General features: G+C 66.1%; 1 protein-coding gene across 29 annotated transcripts in view, besides 3 other annotated features; it reads right to left on the bottom strand.

Annotated features, from left to right (window-relative positions):
* Positions 1–824: 824 nt before the first annotated feature.
* Positions 825–16,613, bottom strand: part of BRSK2 (BR serine/threonine kinase 2) — a 72,756-nt gene continuing 56,967 nt past the window's right edge. For 5 of the 29 annotated variants that reach the window (NM_003957.4, NM_001440674.1, NM_001440673.1 and 2 more), the window contains exons 13-20: positions 13,678–13,738; positions 12,720–12,927; positions 12,095–12,143; positions 8,906–9,029; positions 6,986–7,166; positions 6,827–6,916; positions 4,275–4,322; positions 825–2,544 (exon numbers count right to left, since the gene is read on the bottom strand). In NM_003957.4, coding sequence (NP_003948.2) covers positions 2,525–2,544; positions 4,275–4,322; positions 6,827–6,916; positions 6,986–7,166; positions 8,906–9,029; positions 12,095–12,143; positions 12,720–12,927; positions 13,678–13,738 — 781 coding nt within the window. In that variant the 3' untranslated portion in view covers positions 825–2,524. Of the gene's footprint in view, positions 3,015–4,274; positions 4,323–6,464; positions 6,560–6,826; positions 6,917–6,985; positions 7,167–8,905; positions 9,030–12,094; positions 12,144–12,719; positions 13,294–13,677; positions 13,739–15,650; positions 15,717–16,613 lie in introns of all 29 variants that reach the window. The other 24 variants (XM_005253218.4, XM_011520462.3, NM_001256630.1 and 21 more) reach the window with 14 other exon arrangements.
* Positions 4,972–5,534: an enhancer, noted in NCBI's record as "H3K27ac-H3K4me1 hESC enhancer chr11:1479210-1479772 (GRCh37/hg19 assembly coordinates)". NCBI's record gives its function as "activates a minimal SCP1, AML or CMV promoter by ChIP-STARR-seq in naive H9 embryonic stem cells {active_cell/tissue: H9 hESC(naive)}" and the evidence as "EXISTENCE:reporter gene assay evidence [ECO:0000049][PMID:30033119]".
* Positions 9,786–10,495: an enhancer, noted in NCBI's record as "H3K4me1 hESC enhancer chr11:1474249-1474958 (GRCh37/hg19 assembly coordinates)". NCBI's record gives its function as "activates a minimal SCP1, AML or CMV promoter by ChIP-STARR-seq in primed H9 embryonic stem cells {active_cell/tissue: H9 hESC(primed)}" and the evidence as "EXISTENCE:reporter gene assay evidence [ECO:0000049][PMID:30033119]".
* Positions 14,906–15,405: an enhancer, noted in NCBI's record as "H3K4me1 hESC enhancer chr11:1469339-1469838 (GRCh37/hg19 assembly coordinates)". NCBI's record gives its function as "activates a minimal SCP1, AML or CMV promoter by ChIP-STARR-seq in naive H9 embryonic stem cells {active_cell/tissue: H9 hESC(naive)}" and the evidence as "EXISTENCE:reporter gene assay evidence [ECO:0000049][PMID:30033119]".

Raw genomic sequence — 16,613 nt, 5'->3', positions numbered from 1 at the left:
ATGGAGGTGGGACAGCTACTAGCTTCTGTTGGGCTGAGACCAGGGATGTGGCCCCCACCCCATCATCATCTCCCCCCTCAGCCATGTGCTTAGCACCTGCTCCAATGATAGACAGCTGGGTGCAGTCCGGCGCATCTGAGTCCTTCACGTGGGAGGGAAGTGTGCGTGGGCCTCCCAGGGCAGCTCTGTGGACGCCGCAGTCTCTGCGTGGACCCTGCTGAGGCCTGCTGCTGGCCTCCTCCAGGCCGCGGTGGACTCCCGGCCACTGGCCTCACACAGCATGGGCCTGGACTTGCCCTTCTGCTGCGGCGGCAGAGGGGCAGCTGGGCCAGGGCGTCGTGCCAGTGGAGCCCACGGCCCTGGCTGCCCTCTGTGGCAGGTATGGCTGGGACCATCCCCGCTCTAGCTCCAGGGGCTGTGCTCAGCCTGGGCCCCTCACTCCCAAGGCTGGGTCATGGCACCCTATCCGGACCCTTCCCAAGTAAGGAGTGGGAAGAAGGCTCATTCTCCAGGAAAAGGCCCAGGCCCTGGGTGGCCGTGCAGGCCTTGTGGGGTGGCAGAGGTGCCGTGCAAAGAGAGCTCCGCCCAGGCCCTGGCCCTCAACGGGAGCCCGCCTCAGGCTGGGGCAGCCTCGGGGGATGGCCCCACACATCGGAAGTGACCTCTGACCTTGGCCGCCCGGAATCTCACCCTCTTCAGCTGGGCAGAGGGTAGCTGCATTCACACTGGCGCAGCCCAGGGGCTGCAAGTGGGGAACAAGAAGCTGTCCCGGGCTGTCACAGAGCCCTGCGCGCCCGCCCTGCCCAGATGAAGACCTGCGTCGCTGTCTTTGCGGAAGGGATTTATTGTTCCGGAGCTGCAGCTGCTCACAGTTATGACAGGGGTACACTGCAGGGGCTTGCCCATTTCCGTGGCGCCTGCTGGAGTCCGCGTGTGTCCGAAGCACAAAAGGGGAAGGCAAGCAAGAGGCAGTTTGCTTCGTGTCCTCGATCTCCGTGGAGAGCCCCTTCCCGCCTGTACCGCCTGGCGTTTGCTGTCCTAGGTGTTTGCTTTTGTTCTTATGTATAGAAATCCCAGCCTGTGGCAGAGGTCTAATGTTAACAGAAGCGTTAAAATCTATACACGAGGTGGGTGGGAGGCAGGGGCAGGCACCGAAGCAGACAGACGACTCCATGGCAGAGGCATGCATCAGACCCGCCGTCCCCCACGGCCGCCGCACCCGGGCTGTGCCCGCCTGGGAGGGCTGGGCACATGGGCGGAAGGGAACACAGAAGCTGGAGCTGGGGTGAAGCACGGCGGCGGGCACTGGGCAGGGTGGGCCTGCAGCCCTCTGAGGGCTGCGCCCTGGGCCTCGCTCTGCACAGAACGCCCTGCAGAGGAGCGCCACCGACTCTTTGTCCTTTTTTTTCAATTTTTTCATTTTAATAAGAAAAGCCTCACAGTGCCCCTGCCGTCCTGTGTGTGGGGAGGGCCAGCTGAGGGCCCTCCTCCTACCCCTTCACCTTTGGACACAAAACCAAGATTGCCCCAGCCTGACAGAGGGGCGCTGGCGCTGCCGCCCGCTACAAGACACCGCCCCTCTGCCCCGAGCCCCCCCAGAGGTGGAGCTGCTTCTCCACAGAGAGACGGAACCCATGACAGAGCGAGCCGCACCGTCTTTAGATGTGTGTGTAGAAAGAAGCAGGAGCAAGGGACTAAAACACAAAACCTGGCCCTGCCCCAGCGGCGCCCCCACCCCCACACCCTTTTCCAAAAACCACCAAGAAAAAAAAGTTTATAAAAATATCTTGCAGGAATTCTTTAAAGTTTACAGTAGCTCGCCAGCCCCCCCGCGCCCCACCAGCTCTGTCCTCAGAGGGCGCCCTGGCCCCAGCCCCCCCACTGCCTGAGACACGCAGACGGCAGGGGATGTGGCCGCCGCCCTTCCCTGAACAGAGGTGCGGAGAATCCATAAATTAAAACGGCAAATAAATAACACTGATCCCAGCCCAGCGGCCTGGCCTGCTGGGAAGGCTCTGGTGCCGCAGGGTGTCTCTGTTTCCACCTCAGCCAGAGAGGAGCGCCAGAGCCCACAGCCGCCCCAGATGAGGCAAGGGAGGCGCGGGTGAGACGAGAGGACGGGAGGCAGCCTGAGGAGGCCAAGACTACACGGAGGCGGCGCAGCCAGGGAGGCGGGGCACGGGCCTGCGAGGAGGCCTCCAGGTGCGGCGTGGAGGCGGTGGACGGGGCCTGTTCCTGTGGCTACGTTGCCCACCAGGGGTCCTGGCCCCAGAAGGCCACCAGGCAGGCTGTTCTTGCTGAGGGGTCAGGTGACCGGGAGTCCGGGTCGGCCGGGCTGGAGGAGGCTCCCCCGAGCCTGGCCTTCCTCCCACGGGCCGTGCGGAGCTGAGGCGAGGAGCTGCCGCGGGGTGGACGGGGCGCTGGGCTGGGCCTCACTGCCCGGCAGCAACAGCAGGAGCGGAGGGAGGGCGGGTCCGCAGCAGCTGCCTTCGGTCACAGAGGATGGCCTCGTGGAGGTGACATGTTAACTTTTCGGGATAATTCCTGGTATCAGAGTGGAAACAAGCGATGCTGTCAGAGACAGGCAGAGGCAGAGACAGAGAGAAAAGAGAGCGGGCGCGGGTGGCGCAGCCCACAGGCCGGCCCCAACGCCCCTTTCCTTTCCTCCCAGGCTCTGAGAACAGTCTGGACGGACGGGCGGCGCGGCCGCGGGTCCACTCGGGGCAGGGCGGGCGGCGGGCGGCGAGGCAGCCGCTGTCAGTGCTGTGCTGGGGGGGGGGGCTAGTGTGTCTAAGGCTGCTCGCGGCGGGCGGTGGGCGGGCCCATCTTGGCCGTGTCCTTGCCCGTTGGGTACTCGGCGTCCCCTCCGGGGCCAGGGCCAGCGGCCGCGGAGTCACCGAGTGGGCCGTGGGCACTCCGCTTGGCGGGCGTGCTGGGGGCCTGGGCCGCCTGCCCGTTCTTCTCGTCTGAAAAAAGTTGTTTAATTACGTCAAAGAAGTTACTCAATGGGCTGCCTGGGTACACAGAACAGAGACAAAAAAAAAAAAAAAAAGGAAAAAAGAAAAAAAAGGGGGAGAGAAAGAGGAGGGGAGGGAAGGAGAGAGAAAGAGAACAAACAAACAAATGAACGAAGAGGCCTCGACGAGGGAAAGAACCCAGAGATGAGGCTGAGATGGGGCCGAGCGGGGACCGGTGGGCGGCAAGCAGGGTGGGCAGGCGGCGGCCGGCAGGGGCCCTGTACGCTGGGGGCTGTGCGGTGGGGAAGCTGTGCGCCGTGGGGCCAGGAACTTAGGACCCCAGCGCCTCCGAGCTGTTGCGCAGGACCCAGTGCTCCTTTGGCGAAGCGAGGCTCGGGGCAGGTGGTGAGACCCCTCCCTCCCCACCAAGGCCTGGCCCGGAAGGCCCTGCCCCACCCCCCTTCCCTCCCCACCTTGCAGCCGTGAGGGCCGACCCACCCCAACGCCGGAGATGACAGCGTAAAGACAAGGGCCTGCTGGGAGCTCTGAAGCCTCGCAGGACCCTGGGGGCAGCTGCTGGCCCCACTGCATGAGGCCCAGTGGATGACAGGGAGAGGGTGTGCCCACCACACCTCCCCAGAGAGGCCTGAAGCCCGACCCCTGGCCAGCTTGGACACAGTTTAGCAGCAGACAGACAGATGAACAGATGGGTGGACAAGCATGGAGGGGTGGATGTGGGAGGCAGGCTGGGGGGCTGGGGGCAAGCAGCTAGAGTCATGTCCCGGGTCCCTGGGATGGGGGCAGTCCTGAGAAGAGGGGCGGAAATGGGGAGCCCACCCTTCTTGGGGCCCTGTGCTCACTGCCCAGGTGTGTCGATGGAGGCCCCTCAATCCCACTTCCTAAGCCTAACCCCCACCTGAGCCCTGAGCTGTGGGCCCCTCCGCTCCCTGCCAGGCACAGCCTCCAGTGGACAGAGGGATGGGCACCGGCCCCTCCCCTAGGCCACAGCCTGCACCAGTGGGACCAGCGGGACCCTCACTGGCTTCAGGCCTTGGGAGCCCCTTCTTGGGCCTGCCCTGATCCTAGGGCCTGGCAGAGGTGAGTCTGGCCAGGAACCCCGCCTGGGCTTGCTGTGGTAGGGGAGCGACCTGGGCTGCTCCTGGTAGAGGATGGGGCCGGGGACATCTGGGCTGCTGGGTGCCTACATCTACACAGGGAGGCCGGGACAACCCGGGCGGCAGGTGGCGGCCACAGCGGGCTGAGGGTGAGCGGTGAAGTGGCAGGTGGAGGTGCCAGGTGAGCGTGGGGGATTCTTACCACATTTGGAAAGCCGCCCCGTCATCATTTCCATACAGTTAGTGGTGTCTGGAGTACAGAATGGAGAGAGGAGGGAGGGAGTGAGTGAAAGGCTGTCCTGGGCCTTCTGGCTGGACGCCCACAGCCTCGATGGGGAGGGGGTGGAGCCAGGAGTGGGTAGGGCCCCAGAGGCATGGGTGGGGAATACTGGGGGGGCCAGAGCCAGAGGGGGCGGGGCTTATAAGGGGCAGTGCAGGGGCAGGGCCTGGAGTGAGGCGGGGCTGCGGAGGCAGGGAACAAGGCGGAGCCACCTGGGCAGCAGCCGGACCTCCAGCAGCCTGAGCCTGAGCCTGGATATGGCCGGTGCCCTGGGTGGGCCTAGCCCCTCCCCTGGGCTGACAACTCTGCCCTGGCCGTGGCCTGCATCCTCACTGTGCCACTCAGCAGCTCCAGGGCCCTGTGGCTTCCGGCTGCCCTTCAACTCAAGGCAGGCACCCTCTTCCTCGGCCCTCTTCCCTACTGCTGGGCCTGGGGATGTTGGTGCTGCCAGTCCAGGACTGGGGTGGGAGCAAGGCCCTGGGAGGGGCTACTCCCTCAAGGCCCTCACTGGCGCCTGCACAGGGTGGACACACGCCCTGGTCTGCCTGTGCCTGCTCACTGGGGGCTCTCAGCCTCCCCTCCCTCGGCCGCAGTCTCTGGGGGGGTGGGCAGTGTCTGAGGAGGCCCCCTGCTGGCTAGCCACCTTCCACACATCCTTGGAGCTGGGCTCACTGGACAAAAGCATCCAGTGTGGGAGGGGGGCAGGGCTGGGAAGGGCTGGGCGTAGCGAGATCACGGGGATAGGCTGGGCTCCCCAAGTCCACAGGGAGATAGATGGGGCCCAGAATAGACCCCCAAGAGCCTCTGCAGTGGGCTCCACTGAGGTCAGGGTCCGGGGCAGGAATGGAGAGGGGCTTGGAGTTGGCTCCAGGGGAGTGCTGCGTGCTGACAGGCGGTACCACACTTTAAGGGGCCAGGCTGGGGGAGCTTTGCCTACAGCCCACGCAGGAGCGCTCGACTGAGGCACCCAGATGGCTGCTCAGGTGCGGGGACACCCTGGGCAGTACCCCGGGGCCCGTTTCTGCTTGCCCTACCAGACAAGCCCTGTCCATCCCTGGCCTAGGTGGCTGCCCTGTCGTTCCCTGGCCTCGGTTTCCCTTCCTAAGATGAAGGCTTTCAAGGCTCAGAGAGCCAGAGGCTGCTGCCGGCCGACGGCATGGCCTCCGCTGTAGGGAAGCGCCACGTGTACCTGCGGGGCCGAGCACCTGGAACCCTGCTCCTCCTTACCCGCTGTGCCAGCCTGGCTCCCAAAATCAGGAGAAGGGGGCTACTCCTCCACCCACTGGGGCTTCGGTTAGGGCCAGGGCTGTTGGGGACCTCAGCCCCCAGCCCGCAGCAAGGTGAAGCACACTCTGGGGGGGCTCCCACAGGTGATGGCATGATGATGGAATGAGGATGTCATGGGGAGGGGCAGTGGGGCCCTCTTTGGCTTCCAGGACCCCACATGGAAACACAGGAGGTGACCCTAGCATGCCACGGAGCTGCTGAGATGCAGGCTGGGAGAGGGGACCCCCAGGGTCCAGCCGGGTGCTCCCCCACGACGCCCAGCGCCCCCACGCCGTACCAGCGTTCAGAGGCACACCCACACCCCCTTGCTGACAGACCAGGCCCATGCATGTGCCCAGTGCTCCGCCCTGCCCCCACCACACATGGGCCCAGGGGAGTGGGGGGAGCCCTCCCTGCCGTATGCCGAGTGGCACGGACCCTCGGGTCCTAGACCCTGGTGGTTCCAGGCTGGGGCAACCCTCCCCTGTGTGAGCCCATCAGGCTGTGGTGAAGCCCCCGCTCTGGCTGGGCTCAAGCCCCTCTGCCCTGCTGGAGGCATGACCCTGGGCTGTCAGGAAGTATGGAGAGATGAGAAGTCACAGCCCGTCAGGCAGCCCGCGGCCCTCCTAGGGTGCCATGGCGGGGAGTCCCGAGGGCAGGGCCTTGTCACTGCTCTCCCAGGTCCTGTGCAGGCTGCCCTAGCAGATGGGCCGCCCGGGGCATGCTTGGCCTGTCCAGGGCCGAGACCTGTGGGTGGGCATGGAGGGCCCTGCTCAGGGCCAGCCTGGCTCCGCCGAGGACCTGCCCGCAGCCCCTCCCCGCCCCAGCACAGGCCGGGCGCCTTACCTGCCAGCGTCAGAGGCTACTCTCGTAGCTGGTGGCCACCTTCTGGCCCTTAAGCCCAGCACCCCAGCTTAGTCCTGGCGCTGGTGGGGGGGGTTCTACGGTGGACAAGAGGCGCCTTTCAGTGTGGTGCGGCTGCGCCCTATGTCCCTGGCGTGCAGAGGCGAGGCGGGTGGTCCCGCCAGGCCAGGGAGGGGCTCTGCTCCCTGAGGGGTGCAGCCACAGCTCGGGGCAGGGAGGTGGGGGCGTCCGTCAAGAGGGGCCAGGAGGCTGCGCCCGGGTCCTCACGCCTCCCGTCCGCGCAGCACCAGCTGGCCACGCCCCACTCGCAGGCCGCAGGTTGGCCGGAGCTGAGCCCGCCTCACCTGACAAGTGCTGGGCCGCAGGCGGGTCGTGTGTGCTCAGCAGCTGGGCCTGGATGGTCTCCACCACCCTCTTGAAGCGACGGCTGGGGCCTAGGGGAGACAGGGGGTTATGCCCTGGACGGGCCTGGGCCCGGAGCCGCCCTGGGGGCGCCAGCTCACCTGAGAGCAGGGTGAAGGTGACGGAGTAGATGCCGTTCTCCTTCTGCGCCTCCCCACCCTCCGTGTAGGTGATATCAACCTGGAACTTGACCGGCTTCTGGAACACGGCTGGCCCCCCCGTGGCCTTGTACTCGGCCCGGAAGCTCGTTTGGGAGATGACGCTGTGGCTGAGACTGGGAATCTGTGGAGAGAGAGCAGCGTGAGCGTGGCTGGCCTGGCAGGTCCCACCCTGGCCCTCTGGGGAGGCAGCCCTGGGGCGAGCCAGCCCCACCGTGCACACATTGTGAGCACCCAGGCACCTCTGCTTCCGTGAGGGGCACAGTGCGGTTGGAGACGGCTGGAGCAGGGGGAGGGGCGTTTCCAGCCCCCACCCTCCAAAGCTTTGGTCCACTTAGCGGGCACAGCTAAGCCCCTGCCGGGCTTTTCTCAGGCAGCCACAGCACAGGATGACCAGGACCTTACAGAGGAGCCTTAAGGGCAAAGATGGAGGTGGAAGGTGACCCCTGCAGCCTGAGGTGGGGGTCCAGGGTGGAGCTGAGTGGGAGGTGGGGGGTCTGGGAGCTGCCACTGAGAGGGAGGTGCAAGGGCGGGGCTGGGGCTGTGCCCTCCTGCTGGGGCTTCCTGGGACTCCCACTGGTTGCGGGACCTATGGTGCTGGGCACTGGCTGGGTGGGCTTCACAGTACCGAGGGGGCAGCTGCAGGAAGCAGAACTCAGGGCCACCCAGCGCACAGGGCCCAGGCTGGCACACAGCCGCCTCACTGGGGCCGGCATGGGGAGGGGCTGAGTCTGAGGTTAGCCGTGGCAACCAGGGGCAGCATGAAGGGATGTGGTGAGGGAGGAGGCCGAGGAAGTGAGCAGCCTGTGGGGACGGGGACGGGGACGCTGAGGACCCCTGAGGCCAGGGTCCAAGTGCAGTCTGAGGCCTGCCCTGCCCAGCGCTGGGCTCTCCTGGCCCTGGAGCCTTCTGCAGGGGCTCCAAGCTGTCCCCACAGCGTAAGGGAAGCTCAGCTGCAGCCAGGGCAGCAGTGGCCTGAGTGCCCGGGGGCAGAGCATATGGTGGGGTGGGGGCCAGTCCCTAGCTAGAGAGGCTGCCGAAGCGAACCACGGCCTGATCTTGCCAAGACCCTGGGGCCAGGGAGGGCGCCCGGGCAGTGGTGAGCACAGGGCAGGACAGCAGCCCTGGGGAGGCAGGCTGGGGGCGGTGGGGGAGGCGGGTGGGGGGCAGCCCCTGTGATGCCTGGGCGCTGGGTGCAGCACAGGGTGGGGCAGGGCCGGCAAGGAAGGGGCGTCCTGATGGGACTGGGTGCTGGAGTCCTGGCAATAAACTTTCTCCATTTGAGGCTTTTAGGGCCTTTCTGCTCCTCCTAACCCAAAGATGCCCAGCAAAGACAAATGAAGCCCACCCAAGACCCCGAGCGCGACCACTCTGTGGAGAGCCACCCGGCCTCCGAGGGCAGGGTGAGACCAGGGAAACTGAGACACCTGAGGGCTGGGGCTGTCCACTGAGGGCCAGCAGAGCCCCACCGGTCCCTAGGGCCATGGCCTCACAAGGGCTTCTCCCCGAGTCTGATGGAAATGTCCCCCTCTGAGACCCACCCAGCTGGAGCCTTCCTTCTGCCCCACGTGCCAGCTGCCCAGGCCTGTCCGGCACACACCTAGGGCTGCTGGGGACCAGTGAGCAAAGCCCTGACTCCCTCCGCAGGCCAAGCACCCCAGATGGGCAGTGACCCCTCCCTCACGAGGGTGGGCAGGAGAGAGCGCCTGTCCAGTGAAGGCGGCCAGGCAGGCCCACGGGTGAGCGGACGTCCGTGCTGTGCGCGTGGACATGTCCTGTCTACGTGAGGAGGCTGGATTCTCGGGGCTGGGCCGTGTGGGGTTGGGAGGGCTGCCCGCCTCCCCCAGCGCCCTGTGGCCTCACCGACAGGAAGGCGTGCACGATGTCAGCCTTGATGGAGCTCAGAGGTTTGTCTTTGATGACCACGAAGATCTGCTCCTCCTTCTCCAGGCTGATGAAGTTCCCAAACCAGGACTTCTTCGCCAGCCTGGGCAGTGGGAGACAGAGGCTGTGAGGATTGAGGTGTGGCACCGTCCACACCCCTGCCTCCCTCGAATCTGGGGTTGGAACGGCGGAATCTTCCATCGCTTCGTGATAGAAACGGCTGTCTCCACAGTGCTAGCCAGAACCCATGGCCCTGACCCCAACGCCCTAACCCTAGCCCATATGCCCTGACCATCACCGTGGCTCTAACCCCAACCCCAACCCTAACCTTTCTCCAAGCCCTAACGCCCTGACCCTGGCCCATATGCCACCCACTCCCAAGTCTGGGGATGCCCCTCCACAGGTGAGCCCCCCACAGGTGAGCCCCCCCTCACCAAGGCCGCTGTGAGAGGTGGCTCAAGCTGGGCTCCTGAAGTCAGCTGTGCCCCCCACCCCCAGGAGCAGGCGGGGCCTGCAACTCGCTTCCAACAGGAGAGTGGGGAGGCGCTTCTGAGGCCACAGAAGGCTACTCCTGTCTTGCTGGCAGGCTCACCCCAACATGCAGAGGCCCTCTGCTCTCCAGCTCAAGAGCACCCGAACCCCACCCACCAGCGCGGGGGCCAGGAAGCCCAGCCGTGAGAGGACCATGGCCAGAGGCGCCTCTAGCACAGCCCGAGACTCAGGCAGAGCGCGCCTGGGTGGCTGTTCAGAGGTGGCACGCTCTGCTGGCGTCCCCTGCCGTTGCTGCCTGGAGGTGGAACCAGGTGTGCTGAGAGGCAGAGGCAGGGACCGGGAGGAGGGGCCAGCAGGGCTGGGGCTCAGTGGTGCCCTCTCCCGACTGATTCTGAGGCCCCTCCCAGCGGCCTCACAACTCCCCTTTCCCTTGCCCATTCCTGGAGCTGCCTCCTCGGCCACTGTGCGGCCTGGGAGTCCTGCCGGACAAGCACGGGGACCAGGTCCAACCCTCACTCAGCCCCTCGACGCCTCCTCAGTGTCCTGCCGGTCTCGGCGGCTGTCTGTTCTGGGTTCAAAACTCCGAGGGCCACCACTGGCCCTGACCTTACCCCAGCCCCATGCCAGGGCCTGGAGCCAGGAAGTGCACAAAGCAGCCTGGCAGTTCTGGAAGCACAGGTGAGTTTCTACATGGTCGATGTTCTGCCCGATGAAGAGACAGGACAGATGGTACAAACGTGACTCTCTGCTTTGCGGCCCAGGGGTGCAGCATTTGGCAAAAATAGTCCCATGTGTGAAAGATGCCTGACGGCCCAGGGAGGCCAGGCCGACGAGGGGTGAGGGGCCTGCACTGTGACTCCAGCACCCACGTGGTGGGCAGTGCACAGCCTGGCCGGACACTAGTCTGGGTGTTGCTATGAAGCTATTTTTAGATGAGACGAACTTAAATCAGTCGCCTGTTGAGTCTGGCGGGGGACCCTTCCTCACAGGGTGGGTGCATCCGCCAGGTTCGGTCTTCCTGGGGAAAGAACGCCCCTCGAGGCTGCAACCTGGAAACTGCCTGGGCTTCCAGCTAGCACTTCAGACTCAAGGACATCAGCCCTGAGTGTCCCAGACAACCGCATGCATCCCTTCCTGAAGCCAGCTGCCTCCCTTGGTGCTGTTCCTCTGGGGTGCCTGGTTGACATGGGGCTGGCAGCAGCTGGGGCTGGGGGTTATCTCAGGTCCCCAGCAAGCGAGTTGTCGCCAAAGAGGGACTGTGGGAGGCATCCGTGCTGGACCCTCGTCCAAGGCGTCTGTGCAGGACCCTCAATAAGGGCTGTCACAGGCATCTGTGCCGGGCCCTTGGGTGGGGCTGTGGGAGGTGTCTGTGCTGGACCCTCGGGAACGGCTGTCGCAGGCATCTGTGCCGGGCCCTTGGGTGGAGCTGTAGGAGGCATCTGTGCTGGACCCTTGGGAAGGGGTGTCTGTGCCGGGCCCTTGGGTGGGGCTGTGGGAGGCATCCGTGCCGGACCCTTGAGAGGGGTCAGGGCCTCCAGGCCATCTCAAGATGGGGGAGGGGAGAAGCGCAGGCAGCCACAGTGGCATCAAAGCCACCTTCTCGGCTTTGATGTTTTCCACCTTCTCTGAGGAAGATAATTATGAGTCTGTTCATGAAAGCTTTTGGTAGCAGCAGAAACGGCAATGTCAGGGCCTAGGCGGAAGGTTCCCAAGTCTGCTGAGCCCTGTGCATCTGGGCTTGCGACAATACCTACACACCTCCGACCTGGGCACCCAGCTGGAAGGGCCACCTGATCGGCGCAGAAAGGCCACTGGGTGGAATCCTGGCACAGGCTGCAGATGCTGCTCCTGGGGCTTAGCACTGAGCAGTTTCCACAGGGGCCCCTGGTTTAAAGCCAGCAGCAGGACGAAGGTTCTCGTCTTACTCAGTCCACAGCTGGCCACATCTTCATTTCCCGGGGTCTCCTGTGAAGTGACTCCAGCCTGACCGCCGCTCTCTGCCGCTGCCTGGCCTGGGGTCACGCTGCAGGCTCATATGTGTACACCGCCAGTCGCCTGGTCTCCGAGACACTGCCCAGTGACTGAGGCCATCGTGGAGAGGAGGGAGAGGGCCTGGGCGCTGGGAAGGGGTCTCTCTGGGGACATCTTTGTCCAGACACCAGTCACAGCGGCCCCCAGGGCATCTCAGCACCTGGGCGCTGTAGAGTCTCTGCAGTGGCACCTCTCACGGCTCAGAAAGGCGGCGGGGCCAGACCTCGGCTTGGCTGCTCCGCTCCGCCCCTGCACACGTGTTCCCACCAGGCCTGCTGCCCCTTTGTTCTTAACACGGGCTGCTTTCTCCTTGAGACCTGAGCGACCCGGTCTCTGCCCTTGGCGAGCTCAGGCCCTGGGGAGACTCTGCCCAGTGTACCCCCTGCTCGCCTCCAGCCAACCCTAGGCTCTCCCAAGGCCTGAAGCTTCTCAACAGGGCTGGGGGCTCCTCCCCTGGCTGGCCTTCCCCTCACAGCCGGGAATTCGAACTTCAGAGACTCAGTGGCCGAGACGGGCCTGCCTGCAGTGGGAGGTGGGGCCACGTGGAGAAGGAGCACCCCGTTGGCCATAGGGGAAGGGTTCCATGCCCCTCTCCCGGCCAGCCTGGTGTCAGGTACCAGGAGGCCTCCAGCAGGGGCCACTTACTCTGGGGACGACTCTGGTGTCAGGTTGGACATCTCCTCCGGCGTCGGAACTGTGCACACAGGATGAACAGGAGGAAAGGCGTGGTGACCGCTCCATCCTTCCCCTGCCCTGGCCACCTTGCGCCGAGGTCAGGGTCATCAGGAGTCCACCCACACACACTGGGACAGCCCCCCCAGGGGCACTGGTCCACCCCAGCTCCCGGCCACCTTAGAGGCCCACTGGCAGTGGCGCCCCCCAGGCTAAGGGGAGCTGTCCCCGCCTCTGGTGCTGAAGTCGGCTGTGCCTTCTCCAGCAGCACTGGCTGGCCCTTGGTGCCCCACACATGGGGCCTCCTGACTGGCAGTGCCCCCTCGGTGGCCAGCTCTCCTTGCTGTGTGCCTGGCCCCAGGACACAGAGTGGGTAGACTCAGGAACACAGAATGTCTGGAGGGGATACCAGCCTGTGCGACAGGTAGGACACAGGCTGCTGCTGGGCGCTTTCGGGACAGTGAGACGTGGGCAGGCCCAGGCCACCCCTGCAGCTACAGGCCCCTCGGACTGGTCTGGCACTGCCGGGCGGGGCCCTCCCCAAGGCAGCCTCTGCTCTCTCCCAGCCCCACTCTGGCGCCTCCGGGCAGACACTCACCTTGCAGTTTCCGGCGGTGGAAGCGGGGTGAGCCCAGAAAGCTGTTCTTGATGGAGTTGAGCCGCGCCCTCCAGGGCACCCCTCCGACGCTGGGGCTGGACGGGGGCGTGGGGTTGGGCGTGCCAGCCGGGCTCTCCTTTGGCGTGTGGACAGGTGTCCCCTTGGGGGTGGGGAGGGGACTGCCCCTTGGTGAGGGGTGAGGGGTCACCTGTATGGTGGGGACAGATTTGGTGTTTGGTTCAATCCCGGCGGGTGGGGGCCGGGGGGGCACCCGCAGGGCAGGCGGGCCCAGGGGTGGTGCCAGCTGGGGACAAAGGCCAGTGGCGGGAGGCCGGGCTGGGGTGCTGGCCGGGAAGGGGTTGGACTTGGTGCCCTGCAGAGGCTTGTCGGTCAGCTTGGCCTTGCACGGCAAGGTCTGGGTCTTGGGGTCGGGCCGCAGGGCGGCCTGCAGAGGGAGGACGTGTCCAGGCCTCGAGGCGCTCCCACAAGCTTCGGGCTCCGTGGAGGTGGCCAGGGGGCGGGCCACGAAGGGCGGCTCGGGGGGCGGTGGGGGCAGGACAAGCTTCCTAATAGGCTACGGGGAGGCGCAGGGAGCGAGCGGGGTGGGGGCAGCCGCGCGGCACATGCACCCCAGTCCCCCGCATGCACACGGCACAGGAGGACCAGAAAGAAACAGGCGGGAGCGGGAGGGTGGGGAGGCAGGCAGGCATGGGCAGGAGGATTAGCCACAAAAGAAAAGAAGTGACACACAAGAAAACAAACAAAACAAAACAAAAGAGCGTGCAGTTAGCAGAGCAGCCTGCGCCACAGAGCAGCAGCCGCCACAGGAGCGTGGGCATGGGGGGCGCCTGGGGCTGCTTCCCAGGGTCCGCGAGGCTGCCCCCACCCTGGCACACGCTGACTGGGAGGGTTGGGGCCTCTGTGCATCCGAGCTGGGTGGGGGCGGGGGGTCACTCACCCGGGGGCTGCTGAGTGGGCTGGTGGAAAGGCCTGAGGAGGCACCGCTGATGGACCGAGACCTGGAGGTCACAAGGTACAGGGCCACTGCTCAGCCAGGGGGCAGTGGAGCAGCAGGTGCTGGGCTCTGCTCCCCCCAGGTAAACCCTCCAGGAGGCCTGGAGCCCGGGCCAAGAGCCTCGAGGCCCTGGGTCCTGCTGCACACCCTGTCAATTCAGGAGGGCCCAGGGCGCCTGGCTGTGCCCAGCCCCACTGGGGCCCCCATCAGAGCCCACGTGTGGGGGCCACCCCATGCCAGCAGCCCAGGCACAGCACAGGATACGGCATCAGACAGCCGCGGCAAAGGACCATCCAGCGTGGGGGTGGACGGAAGGACGAGGGGACAGACGGGAGCTTCCTGTATGCAGCCCCTTCTGCTCCAGGCCTCGTGCTGGCTCCAGCCTCCCACCTGCCAAGCCCCCCCTGGCTGAGCTCTCACAGGGCCTGCAGCCTGGTCCTCCATGTCCCTAGATGCCCGTGAGGGATGCCTGGGTCAGCGGCCGGCCCTTCCCTTGTCCACAACCAGGAGGGCCTGGGCAGGGCCAGGCTGGGGCAGCTGCTGGCAGGGACGGTGGGGCCTTGTCCCACCACTGCCCTACTCAGCCTGAGACCTGCACACAGCAGGAGGGAGGCCCTGGCCCGGCGTGCCCGGCTGAGACTCCGGTGTGTGGCCGCCACCCCCGTGCAGGGACCAGGACGGCTGTGCGTCGTTCCACCACACTGCACGGACGAGCCGGCGCCCACGTGCCCAGACAGTGGCAGCTGCCATCCTTGGAGGAAGGAAATGCAGGGAGGGGCCGAGGCAGCCGCCGAAGAGAAGAGGACAGAGAAGAGTAAAAGCCCGGCCTGCACTACCCACCAGGCCTGCCCACCGCCAGCCGGCCACGAGGGGCCTCGCTAGTCCACACCACGGCCCAGGCCCCGGACCGTGGAGAGTGCCACGCTGGCCACACACCTGGCTCCCGGACACCCGGGGGCTGGTCCCCACGGTGACGACCCTCCAACTCCCTCACCAGACACAGCCAAGGGGCAGGGAGGCGACGGGGACCCCATGCACAACCCAGCCTGTCTGGGCCAGGATGACACCCAGGGCTGGAACTGGACCCAGAGCTTTCAGGGCTGAGCTGGGAGCGCGGACAGCCCTCATGGGGGCAGCAGCCACCAGTGAGGCCCTGGACCTGTGGTTCCTGTCGAGCCCGCCCAGAGCTCGTGACTGGGCACGAGGAAGACAGAAGAGGCGCTGGAAACCCCGGGGTGGAGGGGCCGAGCCCTGGTCCTATCCGGCCAGGCAGCTGCTGGGAACACTGAGCTACAGTTGCTGGGGCAGGGGCAGGAGAGACGGCGCCAGCCCTGAGGGCAGCCAGGGCAGGCAGAGTGAGGGCACACAGGTGAGGGTCCCAGGTAGGCACGGGGCCAGGGCTCAAAGAGAAGGACCCCGACCGGCAGCCAGCACACTGCAGCCTTGGGGGCGGCGCCACCCGCCCAGGCTCGCAAAACTGGCCCCAGGTAGAGGCCCCTCTTGACGGCGGCGCCTCCTGCCCTCCTCAGCTCCTGCAGGTGGGCACAGGACGGCTGCTCGGCTTCAACTCTGGCCGGCCCCAGGGGCAGCAGGGCCACCGAGGCCCACCGGACACAGCACAGGGGCTGGCAGGAGGAGCGGCTCGGCCTGCAGCCACGCCGGGCTCTAGCCCCAGGCCCTGTAAGCCATGGTGCGTGGTCCCTCACAGGCAGGCGTGGGCCACGCCTCAGCAGCCCCACCCCTCCTCGGCCTCTGCCTGGCCCGCGGGCCCTTGCCTGGCTTGCTGGCTGGCTTCACCGCAGCAGGAGCCCTGCAGCCCAGCCCGCCACCAGACCCGCCCATGTGCCTGCCCGGCCTGAGGCAGGACAGCGTGTCTGGGGCTGGGAGGTGCGGGGACGGGTGGTCGGGGTGTATACCTGTCTTCTTTGCTGAATTGGGGATGGGCCTCAGCGATATCCAGGCTTTTACTGAACATTGCTTTACTACAGCAGAACAGAGCGAGAAAACACAGTTACTGACGGCCACACGCGGGCACAGGTCGGCCCCCAGGGCCCGGGCCACACCGGGTAAGAACTCCACGTGGCTCTGAGGCCGCTGCACAAAGATGGCGAGAGAGGAGGCTGGGCCAGACAGCACACCCCGCACCGTGTGACTGCTGGGCAGGGTGGCCTGGTAGCCCCCACCCCAGCCCCCAGGACCCCTGCGTCCCCAGTCAGCAGCCCTGTGTGGCCCAACACCAAGCAGCTGGGTCTCTGCTGGCTGCACAGGTGGCCCCACCAGGAGTGGAATCTGGCTGGGACATGCCAGGACTAGTGGCCTTCCAGAGGCCCCGGAATGGTCCATGGCCTGGCCCATCCCACACCTGCCCCAGGCAGCCAGGCCTGGGAGTTGCAGCAGAGGCCAAGAGGGCGGCCTCCCACGCCGCTGACCGGAGGGGCCAGGCAGTGGGGTGGTGGGGCCTGCCCTGCAGGGTCGGGGAGTCCGGGGAGGTGGCCACGCAGGCAGGAGGCAGGCACCTGGGCTACAGGTTGTGGTGCCCCCATGACATGCAGGCCACTGAAGGTCAGGACAGTAGAATGTAGATAGGAGGGCCCCTTGCTACCCCCTAGTACTGGCGTCAGGGCTGCGCTGACTGGGCCCTGGGAAGGAGGTTCTGGGGGCTGGGACCCCACGTTGGAAGCTGGGCCAGCCTGAAACCCTGGGGAGGGCCTAGGACTCCCAGGGGGCCATGGCCTGGGAGCTGCCAGAACTGGGACCACCAGTACTCTGGCCAGGGCTGGGGCTGGAACAGGTTTAGCCTGATGGCTGCCAAGCTACCTTGCAGTTCCCCACAGCTTCCCCCAAGTTCCCGAGGAACAGGCCACGCCTGTCCCACCCCC

Source organism: Homo sapiens, chromosome 11 (genome assembly GCF_000001405.40).
Source record: "Homo sapiens chromosome 11, GRCh38.p14 Primary Assembly".
Taxonomy (NCBI): domain Eukaryota; kingdom Metazoa; phylum Chordata; class Mammalia; order Primates; family Hominidae; genus Homo; species Homo sapiens.
This window is presented reverse-complemented; position numbering and strand designations above follow the sequence as displayed.